Below are 12,840 nucleotides of genomic sequence, written 5' to 3'. Positions count from 1 at the left end.
TATGTTCTAACTTCATATTAAAAAAAACTGATATTTTTAAATACAAACAAATAAAAGAAAAACTCAACAAAACCTTCTTGAAAGGAAGAACAATGCATTAGATTCTACCTTCTACAGTATAAGTGATTCTGTAGGTTGGGTGGAGGGTTGAACAAATCAGAGTTTCAGGTTAGTAATTCTGAGGACAAAGGAAAATAATCCACAGGGATAGCTATAGATGGTTTGATTGTAGGTTCAACAATAGAATCAAAAGAGATGTACTGTTCTTACCCATGACAACTCAATTAAGTTTACACATACAAAAATTTAAGTAAAATAATATGCTTTAAGTAGAACTTAAGGAAAAAGTTATTATGATAATTCAGAGCAAAAGAATCAGCACTTAGAACAATCACAAGAATTTTTTAAAAATTGTTTGACAAAGTATGTAGTATAGAAGCAAGGTTTAGACGTTAGAAATTGGGAGCCACAGATATTATGCAACCTTGAGCAAGTCACTTGAAACTTTCTAGGCCTGAGTTTCCTCAGCTATGAAACAACGACATGAGGCTAGATGCCTGGGCCCTTTTCAAAGTGCTAACATTATTCAGGGAAATTTAAGTGGTATGTAACATGCAGGGAAACAACAGGGCATGATTTAGAAGTCATACAGCTGTACTTTAAACAGGCAGTGATGATTATAGTCCTGGGAGTGAATGAATAAATGGATCAGCCCTACAGTATCAGCATGTTCTCCAAGGAGCTTTTGACAAAAAGCCATCAAAGACAGAGTGGCCAATCTAACCAATCAATGAGCTACCTGCTATTTTTGTAAAATTACTAAAGCAGCAGAGATGATTAAAATTGATACTCTATGATTGAAGGACTTATGAGTGAGAGCTGAGAGGAGAGGGAGGGGCCTCTACACAAACCCTCCAGCCGGGTGCGGTGGCTCACTCCTGTAATCCCAGCACTTTGGGAGGCTGAGGCGGGGGGATCACGAGTTCAGGAGATTGAGACCATCCTGGCTAACATGGTGAAACCCCGTCTCTACTAAAAATACAAAAAGAAAAAATTAGACGGGCGTGGTGGCGGGCTCCCATAGTCCCAGCTACTCGGCAGGCTGAGGCAGGAGAATGGCATGAACCCGAGAGGTGGAGCTTGCAGTCAGTGAGCCAAGATCTTGCCACTGCACTCCAGCCTGGGCGACAGAGCGAGATTCTATCTCAACGAAAAAAAAAAAAAAAAATTCCTCCTCCTTCGTGAACTGTTCTGGTTCTGTATACAGCAGTGAGACATATTAGGTAGCAGGGATTCCTTATACGTTTTGGTCAATTAAAAACAGCAATACTGGTCATGTAACAAGGAGGTTTCCACCATGACTGTCATATGTATGACTGGCAGATGCACAATAATAGTGGGCACTGTTATACTGAATTAAGACCAGGATTATTTGAATAACAGAAAGTGATTACCATTAGCCAATATTACTTACTTTTATCTAAAGAATTTGTAGAAATATTAATGCATGGAGCCTGGGATAGGCACCCCTTGGCTGTGGTGCCTCATGACCTGCAAGCTCCCCTTCCCTGGGAAGAATGTCCTACCTGATGTGGGACACTGAGGAGAATCCTGCTTCCTCAATTTGAGCCTTTAGCTCCTTCAGTTCCTCCTCAGCTTTCCTCTTCTCTTCTAAGTGCTGGTGGAACTCAGCCCTCAGGTGGAGCATTTCTTCCTGAAGACACCTGTTACTGTCCCCTCCCATCGGAGAAGGAGGGGAAAAAGATGGGTTCTGGGTCTCCACAGTTGCCAGACTTTTCTCCAAAGCCACCTTGACAAGCTAAAAGAAAATCATGGTTTGAAGAAGTTAGGCCATTAAAGAGGACCCAAGAGAAACATGAGATTGCAAAGGCAGTTTTAAATGAGAACAAAAACAAACAAAAAAAGCAGATCTAAAATAAACTCCCTAACCAGAACCTCCTTAGTCAGGCATAAGGGCCCTGGGGACTGGTTTGGGTGGGAAGGACACACAAAATGAGCAGGAGGAATTTCCCCATGGAGAAGAGGAGAATCCAGAGATGGTGAGGGAGAAAAGCACATAAGAAATTAAAACAAATGCAAACAAACGAGGTTGAAACAGGACTGGAGGGTGTGAATACGGTGATTCTTTCTCTTCCTGAGGAGACAGAGCCCTGCGAGTTTTCTCACAAGTCAGGAAGCTTCATCAGCTCTGCAACACTTGAGTCCTGGATGGCGGGAGATGATGGCTTAAGATATCAGGGCGCAAAGCCTAAGGCCCTGCCTGTAACTCCAACTCCCTCAAGGACAGCTGAGAGGGAGGACTCAGGGCACTGGGGAAACAGTCGGCAGACACAGTTACAGAATTAGAATAAGGTGGAGCGACAGGGAAGACAACACCAACTATTTCATTGGCAGCAGAAGGATCACACTCCGCAGCTACTGGGAGATGGAGGTGAAGCCATCCTGCCAAGCAGCCAACCTCACTTTTTGGTTATTATCTTTGTGCTGATGCTGCCAGACAAACTCTCTCTACAAATCTCAGCATGTGGAAGAAACAGAGGCAGGAACAACTGCCCAGCACCTTTCTATTTCTTGAGGACACTCTTGAAGTTATTCATCAATGTTTTAATTAAAGCAGATCTTATGGCCTTTGCTCAAATGGGAATTTGTTAACTTTTAGACTTTGTTATTGTTCATTTTGGGCTTATCTTTGGTCTTTTCCCACGCTCTTAAAAGTGTAGAAATCAAAATCTGAGTATGATAATCTACTTAGCATATGACTAATTACTTTAGTACAAGGAGTTCCTGCCTGTCTGTCCAATATTAATCTTAATATGTCCCAATGTCACATTGGCTTCTTTTTCTTCTCAGTGGCAGCATTTGGAGCTTTTACTTAACTTTGGGTCAATTTTGGCCTCTGAATTTTCCACCCCTCCCCCACAGCTGTTGCTGAGTCATGTTGTTTTCTTTTATCTCTACAAATATTGTGACTTGTAATTGTCACTTATAAATTCATTCTGGCTATACTGAATCATTCCCCAATTATCCAAGTCATCCAAATATTTGATGTGCATTTCCACAAATCATGTAGTGGCCCCCACTACAAGTGATTGGGGATAACTTGTAGAATTAATTATATGCTTTATATCTCCATTCAGGTCACCAATACATTGAAGAGAGCAGGGCCCAGAACAGCTTATATGGATCAACGACTGACAGAGCTGCTGGGGTTGGTGCGAAGCCACTGACTTTTGCTATTCCCCGTAACAAAGTATGTTCAAATGTAGGTCACAGGTTTGTGGTAGGGTCGATTCACAGTATGCATGTGCAATGGTGTTCAGTAGCATAGCAGTTGAGGTTGTGAAGACATGCGCACCCAGGTCAAAGAAGAAAGATCCTTAGACAAAGCCACTCAAGTCCCAGGCACCCAATCTTACTTGGACTTTGTGAGCCTGAGATTTGGGAGGCTCCTGGGAATGTCTGTCTCTAAGACTCTGCTGGCAGGCTTAATCAGGCTGGTGGCCATCTCCATATGTGCCCCCAGCATTTGTGACAAAATAAAGGAAGGGGGACCAAATAAAACCACTTCTGAAAGCTTACAATCCCATCCCTTATTTAAACTATGTGATGTTGTCATTCTATATAAACTCTTTCCGAGTAACTTAACTAAAACACACTTTGCCATTAGTCTTGAGTGTGGGCACAGCATTATTCTTTTCTAGGCCTTAAGGGTTCCTTCTGCTTAAAAATAATGTCTAACTTTAATGAAGTTTACCCATTATTAAAGTGCCTTCTGGATATATGTTATCTTGTTCTATTGGTTTCAATACACCTATTTTCTTTAAAAAGAAAAAATTATGGACCATGAATGTTAACACCAGAAAAACCTTAAGGTACATCTGATCTAATTTCCCACTTTAAAGTGAGAAAATCAAACATTGCCTAGGGATCTCATTTTTCCCCAGGCTAATTTGGGTTTTCATATTTCCATCTCAAAGTGGACTTTCTTTGGCTAACTTTAAGGTTTTTTTTTTTTTACATATATACAACTTTTATTTTTTATTTCTTTTTTTATTTTTTATTTTTTTATTTTATTATTATTATACTTTAAGTTTTAGGGTACATGTGCATAATGTGCAGCACAGCATGGCACATGTATACATATGTAACTTTAAGTTTTAAATGTAAATGCCTGAAAAGTAACTCAGGATCTAGCCTTTTCATTAGTTTTGATCATGTATGAAAGCAAGTATTTCTTTCCCCCAAATGAAACCCCAGGGCTTCCAGTATTTGTAGTGATAGTGTGAATCCATTAGGTCTATTTTTAATTATATCTGTCTTATTGGTTTTTTTTTCCACATTTCCTAACTCACTTGTGATATTGCTTCATATAATTCAACTTTTTGTGTGCTGGGTTCCCATCTGCCCCACAAAGGCCTCTGTGCAAATCTGATATCCTGTTTGAATGACATTGTTTTGCTTTTACCCTATTGCTTCGTATCTGTCCCAATGTTAAGTCAGTTCTCAACATTAAGGCATTAAAAATTAGCTTTTCTCAAATGCTCAGCATCACTAATCATTAGGGAAATGCAAATTACAACCATAATGAATATCATCTCACACCTGTTGGAGTGGCATTTATCAAAAAGGTGAATGATATGTTAGAGATAATGCAGAGGAAACGGAACACAGACATTGTGAATAGGTATGTAAATTAGTACAGCTGGTGTGGAAAACAGTATGGAGTTTCCTCAAAAACCTAAAAATAGAATCTACCCTATGATCCAGTAATCCCATTTCTGGGTATATATCCAAGGGAACTGAAATGAATATGTTAAAGGTATATCTGCACTCTCATGTTCATTACAGCATTATTCATAATTTATGTTAAGATGTAGAGCCAACCTAGGTCCATCAGTAGATAAATGGGTAAAGAAAATGTGGCAGATAATACACAATGGAATACTATTTAACCTTAAAATGTTGGGGGAGAGCTCCTGTCATTTGTGACAACATGAATGAATCTGAAGGTCATTATGCTTAGTGAAATAAGCCAGGCACACATACCACATAGGCTCACCTATATGTGGAATCTAATGAAGTTGAACTCATAGAAGCAAAGAGTAGAATGGTGGTTACTAGAGGCTGGTGGAGTGGGGAGGGAGAGTAGGGGGAATTGTTGATCAAAAGTATTGACAAAAAGAATAGGTCTTAAGATATATTGCATAGCAGGGTGACTATAGCCAATAAAATGTATATTTCAAAATAAGAGTAAATTTTCAATGTTTCACCATCAAAAATGGTAGGTAGGTAAGTTTATGAATATGTAATTAGCTTGGTTTAATCATTCCATATTGTTTGTGTGTATATATATATATAATCATATACCCCATAAATGTATACAATTACGATTTGTCAATCAAAAATAACTATTTTTTTAAAATAGCTTTTTTCAAGTTTATCACACTTTGTCTACTAACGTCTGTTCTTCATATTTGAATCTTGATTTTTTTTCTTTAAGAGGTAGGGGTCTCATTATGTTGCCCAGGCTGGCCCTGAACTCCTGGGCTCAAGAGATTCTCTTGCCTCAGCCTCCTGAGTAGCTGCAACTATAGATGCACACTACCTGGGCCTGAATCTTTATTCTTGATTAACTTTTTCTCCATTACAAAACTTCACATAAAAAATGCAATGGTTGATTACTCTAGTTTCTTTCACAGCAATTTCATAGGTATTTATTATAGATCTTACATCTGCTTGAGAATAGAATTTTGTGGGAGATAATCTAGGGAAAATTACTATCATGGCCAGACTTGAGGCTTCCTGAGGTGGCTGAGTCCAAAACATAAGGAGCAAGCAACTTGTATTGGCCAAAAGGTGATTCTCACCTTGGAAGAAAGACAAGGTGGGATGTGTCTGTTAGGAAAAGCATATGAATGCTTGGAGTAGGAAGGGAACTTGGTGTCAGGCAAAAATTTACCTTCCAAGGACATAACAAGGAGAAGCTCAAAATCTACCTTTAAGGGACCATTTTCCTGGAAACAAGCAAACAAATTTTGAGAATCTGGACACAAAACAGTTATGGCAAAGTAAGCTTTATTTAATTGGTAGCAGGAGAGTCACAACTTCAAACTCCAGAAAAGATGAAGTAAATTTGCAATGATTTCATACACCAAGATTCCTCCTACCCAAAGCTGAAGATATATTTTCAAGGAAAGGTGATGGAAAGAAAAATGGTGCTCGCCCAAGAGATTCTTCCATCCAGCAGGCATATACTTTGTCTATCATGAGTCAAGCCCTGATCCAAAGGCTTGTTAACTTATAATTACACTAAGCATCTCTCCTATGCCAAGTAATGTGGCAAGTATTGTGAGGGAAATACAAATGCCCTAATGTAAAAAGTTCATTCCAGTGTAGGCTGACCTTCTCAAAATGGGGTCTGGTCAGATTCTCCATGCTAGGCTACAGGAAAGAAGGCTGAAGAAGCAAATTTACAAATCAGTTTGCCTACAATTGAGAATTAGAGCAAATGACTTGCAATACCAGGAGTACTTCAGACCATATCAATCAGAAACTTTCTTCATATCTGTGTCTCCTGTTCATTTATTCTGAAGTTAATCCTGTCCCACAGTCATTATAACCATCAGTGACCAGCCAACCTCCCAATCTAGCTGTCTTAGAGTAGACATTTGTTCATCCTGCAGGTCCCTCTCTCTCACCCAAGATCCTCAATGAAATCAGAGAGTGAGGACAGAGGGATCTGTCTGGAGGGACAGAGATGTATATAATTAAAGTCACAACCATCGGTAAGGAGGACTCAGGAGAAGCTGTTCAAGCAAAAGGAAAAGTGGAGCTCATGCAAGCACTCAAGGGAGAAGGGAAGGTCGGGTACAGCTATAGCAACAAGAAGGTGATCCTATTATAAGAAGGTGATCCTACTACTACAAAGAAACTGTTGAGAATATGACGTATCCCAGACAACTACTCATGTCCCCAAGTGCCAAATCCCAAAAGATTTGAGGATGCTTATTTGGGCTCTTCTTATTGGTTGATTCGATGTCTCTTCTTTGTCTTATGCAGAAGACATACAGGCAGACCCAGAAAGCCTCATTTCTTGTTTAATTTTCCTAATAGCCCCAAGAAAGCTATTACTGGAAAGTCCAGCTGCTTGTGCAGGATATCTACCAATGATTCACTTTCTCCTTAAGAATCATAGGCACAGTCCATTTAGGAGATGAGATTGCTAAATGGCATGGACAAAGTGGAGACATTATAGGAGTTCCGGTGAGTGCTTGTGAGATCACTATTGGTGACTTAATCTCTGAAGTCCAGATTATTCACTCTTGTAACATGCTAGTTACATCTTCACTGATGGTGGGTGGAAGCAATGTTTCAGCCTCAAGTTCTGAGGTTTGACAGGGGATTGCTGTTGAAGTACCATCTGCTGATCACTGAGTCACCATGACCTCAGTGGTTTGTCAGGTTGCATAAGGTTCTCTTTGTATAATGAGATTTCACTGAGAAAGATTCTTGCTTTGGAAGCATTCCAATCTTCTTGGAGTTTCTTCCCAAGCAGGTCCTCCGCCCTGCCACCTCCCCGAGCAGCCCTTCGATGACTCCCTGTCTTCTGTGGTGCGTTTCAGTTACAAAAAGCCCAAGGGGAATGTGTCCATCGTCTTGCAAGTAAAAATGCTTCTGAAGCTATAGCTACAGAGAATAAATAGGGGCAAAGGTGGGTAGGAGGGGGAAGGAAGCAGAAGAAAGAGATACAATACAAACCAAAGGGTGGATTGGAGAGAAAAATGGAGTGAAGATATGGGTTGGAAAGGCAGCTGGGAAGTTCAAGGAGAACAGGAAGATGACTGAGAAGTAGTTTATGTAAAAAGATATCTTCTCACTAAGTCCGCAAGGGCTGCAGGAGACTATCAGACCTCAGAAGGGCTGTGTGCTGTCCACCCTGGAAGTCCCAGACCCTGACACTGACTTACTTGCTGGTGACTATGGTGTGCAGCCTCCTCCTCAATACTGTCAGTGAACTCAGTGCTTGTATCTTCGGTGTCATCCCCTGCAGCTGCACCTGGAAACAAGTCCAGAAAAGAAAAGTGATTCCCTTCACAGATGGCTTCCAGACAGCAGGTTAAATTATACTCTTTTTGCCCGCTGACTCTGATTTCTTCCTTTCTCCATATACATGGGGCAGAAATTCTCCCTAGCCAGCAGGGCTGGAAAGAAAAATAGAACTTTTTGTATCACAGACACTTTCTTACTCATACTCAAGCCTGAGCCTCACAACATAAGCTGACTTTGCCTGCACAGACCCATTTCTAAGGAGCCGACTGTCGGATGCACTGGTTACCCCACTCGAATGTCAAGAAAGCCTGAATTATTCCCCACTGCCTGGCTACATAAAAACTTTCTCTTCCATAATATGAGTCCAACATGCTTAACCCTTTCCCCACCACTGAGTGCCTGGAGATTAGAGCTGCCCTGAATCTCTCAGAGGTATCTATTGTTGGGATCAGTTGTGCATAGGGTGACAATCTCTCTGAGGAACTTCCCTCTGGGGGTCCTGTGTCCTAGTAAGGTTCAGGTCTAGTCAAGATTCAAGACACCAAAGGATTCAGTTGTTCCCTAATTTCTTCCTCTAACCTCCCTTCCTCCTCACCTCTCTCAAACTCTTATTCTATGCAGACACCCTTTGCCTGAAGGGTTTCTTGCACTGCTTTATCCCCGTGGGATTTAACCCATCCTTTCATTCTCCAGAGATGGACACAGCCACTCTAGGGCCCAAACATCTACACCTTGCTCTAAGGTACAAGTAGCTGCAGTTTGTGGTATGGGCAAAGGTCTAAGGCAGCACTGACCAAGAGGACTTTCTGCAATGACAGCAATGTTCTGTGCCAGTGTTGCCCAGTACAGTGGACACAGTCATATATGGCTATTGAGCTTTGAAATGTGGGTAGTATGGCTCACATTTCAAAGCATTGAATCTTAAATTTTATTTAAATTTACTTATATTTAAATGACTGCATGTGGCTAGTGGCTACCCTATTGGACAGCACAAATCTAGGGTGTGTCTTCCTCCTTATATTGATTAAAATTAAGACTGTTCATACATTTTAAGACCAAGAGCTATGTTTTATATACTGTATTTTTCAGGAAGTGTAGAAATTTATTATGGTTAATTTGTCAAAGAAAATTTACTGTGACACTCACTGTGTCTTATAGAACCTCCCCAACTTAAGAATCTTGAAATCTTGTTCTGATCCTAGCCTCGGCAACCAACCAGTTACAACTCCACTTCTGACCACTGATTAACCTGGACCTCTAAGAGATTACGTGGTGAGTCCAAGGTTACACAACTAGCCCTCACTAGAGCTGCGCCAGTAAGTCAAGACTCTGGACTCTTAGACAGAAGCCACTCACTTTTCCTTCTGGTGACAAATCTGATCTTTATCTTTGCTTCTTCCTCCAAGACCAAAGAACCTTCTGTTGAGTTCAGACATCCAGGCATGAAAGGCTCTGCTTGAATCATGAGCATTCACTACCCAATACAGATAAGGGGCTTACCTTATCTCCGTAAGGAATTCGACGGAGACAAATAAATGCTCATCTCATCTCGACACTGCCACACAGGGGTTTTGTTTCTTCCCCTTCATTCTCTCTTTTTTAAGCTAGCTCACAGTCTTCTTCCATTATGGCAGCTTTAAGGGTTGCTCAGCCTTTTACCAATTTGAATTAAAATGCTGAAACTTTTTCTCCCATGTTTGAGGGGGCAGTTCACATCTATATATTTGCAATGGCCCAGGCTGATCTCATGGAAGTGCTAAGAGGTAGTAAGTATGCTGTGATAACAGCTTAGGTTTCCTCATCTACACCATGAACTTTATGTTAACTTTGGATCAAGGAAGGGTCCTGTTCAGTGAAGCCTCTACCACCTCTACCACTTAGCATCTTTAGAGGTCTGTGGCAGACAGTGTACAAGAGTTATTTCCAATACTTACTCATTCAAACCAACCCCAGAAACCATCTCACTCAGGATACTAGCTGAGTAGAGGTGTATGGACACATTCCCTAATCTTTGGCTGCTTTAAAAACCTACTGAAAACCAGGATACTAATTTACCTAGGACACCCACATCATGTTATGCTTACTTTGGAAAATCTTTCCCTGTACAACAGTAGCGATCACAATCTTTTATGTTTTTCCAGCAAAGGAAATGAATTGTCTCACTCAGTGACAAAAAACAGACTGTTCACATTGTTTCTCTTTTGAACATGGGGCTAGAGAAGGATCCTGTAGTTGAAGAAAGCACAGCTCTATGAGGTCAGGATCCTCATCCCCTACCATTGTTGCTGGGTTGTGGAGTCAGGCTGGGCCCACATCCCAGGACCATTCCTGCCAGGTTCCAGAAGCGAGAATTGGAAAGGGTGACTATCACTGGTCTTGAAGGTTTTTATCTGACACTTTCTGCCCTCCACTTATCTTTGGCAGCCTTTCTGGTGCCACGTCTGCATTCTTGGATAATGCTCCATCTTATTTCACTTAAGAGCAGGATGCTATGGTTCTGGCTTCATAAGGAATTCGACGGAGACAAATAAATGCTCATCTCATCTCGACACTCTGCCACACAGGGGTTTTGTTTCTTCCCCTTCATTCTCTCTTTTTTAAGCTAGCTCACAGTCTTCTTCCATTATGGCAGCTTTAAGGGTTGCTCAGCCTTTTACCAATTTGAATTAAAATGCTGAAACTTTTTCTCCCATGTTTGAGGGGTAAAGCTAAAAAATTTATAGAAAATATGGGAATAAAAGAGTAAGTTATCTCATACAAGGTCCATACAAGACATTAGACATCTTTTACCATTTTCCATTTTTTTAAATAAATGAGAGAACTTCTCTTGTGTGATACCCTTTTCTAAACTTTTACTGCACAACGAAACACTGTCTTCAGAACTAACTTGGAATATTTTGAATTTCTAATTTAAGGTACCTATGATTTTATATTGATGACTCGTCTGCTTATTTTTTGATAAAATATAAAATAGCCTGCCGCCTTTAGATTCTCTGGGAGCTAAGAATCTGTTCATTTAACTTGCTTCTTCGAGATTAAGTTTTACATGTTAGACTGGCAATTTTATAAAAAACTTTTATTTGAGGCTTCAATAAAAGTTCTCAACTTGTGGTTCTTGGAAGTTTCTAGGCTCTGAACAATACAAAATGGAGGTGATACCAAGATGTCCCTTATTTAGAAAAGTATTTTCTATCAGCTATCTAATTCTACAAAGTACACAAAAATAAACCTCTAAAACATAAGACCATAAAATCCTTGGGTGAAAATGTAAGCGTTATGCAAATATAAGGTATTCTTATCACTGAAGCAAAAATTCATACTTTTGTAGAACTTTTTAAATTGAGTATGGCATAATAATTAAGAACAAGAACTATGGAGATAGACTGTCTTGATTTGAATTGTGCTTTTATTGTTAGTTATGTCACTTCAGGCAAGTCATAACCTTTCCATAACTAAGTTTCTTCATTTAATAATTAGGGTTAAGAGTGTTACCCACTCCATACTGTTGTGAACTTTAAAGGGTTTGCTGATTTTGAAGTGCTTAGAACAGTGCTTGGTACACAGTGTGTACTCAATAAATACCATCCTTAAACAATATTATTATTGTTATTGTAAGTAAACTGAAGTAGTCCATGGGCTTATAAGTTGAAGACTGAGAAAGTTGAAGGCCACAGAACCTAAATAGCATCAGCAGAAGGAAGTTTTATACTTGATGTTACTATCTGAATGATCTTGACTGATTCTACCTGCACTTCTTCATTTCTGAATACTTGTTTCCCCAGCAGGAGGCTTGAAATGACACTCTTTGCTCTCTGCCTCACAGGACATTGAAAAGGTAAGGAGTGACAACTCTTTGGCTGAACTCTTTGGAATAGGTGCCTTACAAAAAGGACTAATCATCATTAAATGATAACTGTCTTAAAACTCCAACATGCACAAATAAGCCTTAGGGGGAACTTCATGACCTCTTTTTTTGTTTTATTTTGCTTTACAGATGAGGTCTCATTATGTTGCCCAGGTTGGTCTTGAACTGCTGGGCTCAAGGGATCTTCCCACCTCAGCCTCCAAGTAACTGTGACTACAGGTGCATGCCACCACACCTGGCTCATGACATGTTCTTTAGTAATGAGTCCAAACTGGGTGGAGTCAAGACCATTTCCCCCCAATTCTACTCTGTAGTCATTATCTTCCTTTAAGCCACTAATATGGGATAAACAGAAAAGGAGTGATGTTTTTCCATATAGTTACTTAGAACATAGCAAGAGATCATATTTTATTAATTTTAAAAGGTGATCTGAAGAACTAAAACTTTAAGCATGAATAAGTTGGCAGTGCCAAGTGTTCTTTCCTTCGGTACCGGGCCCTTGTGTCTAATACTCTCAGCCCAATTTCACTCTGACTCCCAGGTACACTGCCATGCGTTCATTACAAGAACGCTCACATTTTCACGTCATGAACCAACTATTGCTGACTTTAATGTTATGGTGCTGTAATGTTATGGAGAGAATCAAGGAAAAGAGGCCTCCTATCAAACTACAATTTCACCTGCACACATTCCCTTCAGGATCATAAGAAAACTATTAAGATTCCATATAGTCCTCCATAGTTTCTGCTAAGAAATAAAATTCTCTATCTAGACAGATTCTGATCGTGGAACAGAAGTGGTAGAAAACTGCTGTCTGCAGTCAAACCCCTTTATGGTGTATCTTTGTCTTTAAATTGCAACATCTCTTAAGTAGCCTTAGGGCTTTCCAGCTCACATGTTTCAGA

At 40.1% G+C, this 12,840-nt stretch overlaps 1 protein-coding gene across 34 annotated transcripts in view, besides 1 other annotated feature; it reads right to left on the bottom strand.

Moving 5' to 3' along the window:
• Positions 1-12,840, bottom strand: part of PDE4DIP (phosphodiesterase 4D interacting protein) — a 224,583-nt gene that overhangs the window by 33,055 nt on the left and 178,688 nt on the right. For 28 of the 34 annotated variants that reach the window (NM_001377392.2, NM_001350521.4, NM_001395298.1 and 25 more), the window contains 2 exons: positions 7,989-8,077; positions 1,587-1,819 (listed from right to left, as the gene is read on the bottom strand). In NM_001377392.2, coding sequence (NP_001364321.1) covers positions 1,587-1,819; positions 7,989-8,077 — 322 coding nt within the window. Of the gene's footprint in view, positions 1-1,586; positions 1,820-6,079; positions 7,708-7,988; positions 8,078-12,840 lie in introns of those variants that run through there. The other 6 variants (NM_001395319.1, NM_001395316.1, NM_001395322.1 and 3 more) reach the window with 1 other exon arrangement.
• Positions 6,923-8,122: an enhancer, noted in NCBI's record as "P300/CBP strongly-dependent group 1 enhancer chr1:144891435-144892634 (GRCh37/hg19 assembly coordinates)". NCBI's record gives its function as "activates an origin of replication core promoter dependent on BRD2, BRD4, P300/CBP, MED14 and CDK7 cofactors, with strong dependence on P300/CBP, by STARR-seq in HCT116 cells {active_cell/tissue: HCT116}" and the evidence as "EXISTENCE:reporter gene assay evidence [ECO:0000049][PMID:35650434]".

The sequence above is a fragment of the Homo sapiens genome, chromosome 1, assembly GCF_000001405.40.
Source record: "Homo sapiens chromosome 1, GRCh38.p14 Primary Assembly".
In the NCBI taxonomy this organism is placed as follows: Eukaryota; Metazoa; Chordata; class Mammalia; order Primates; family Hominidae; genus Homo; species Homo sapiens.
This window is presented reverse-complemented; position numbering and strand designations above follow the sequence as displayed.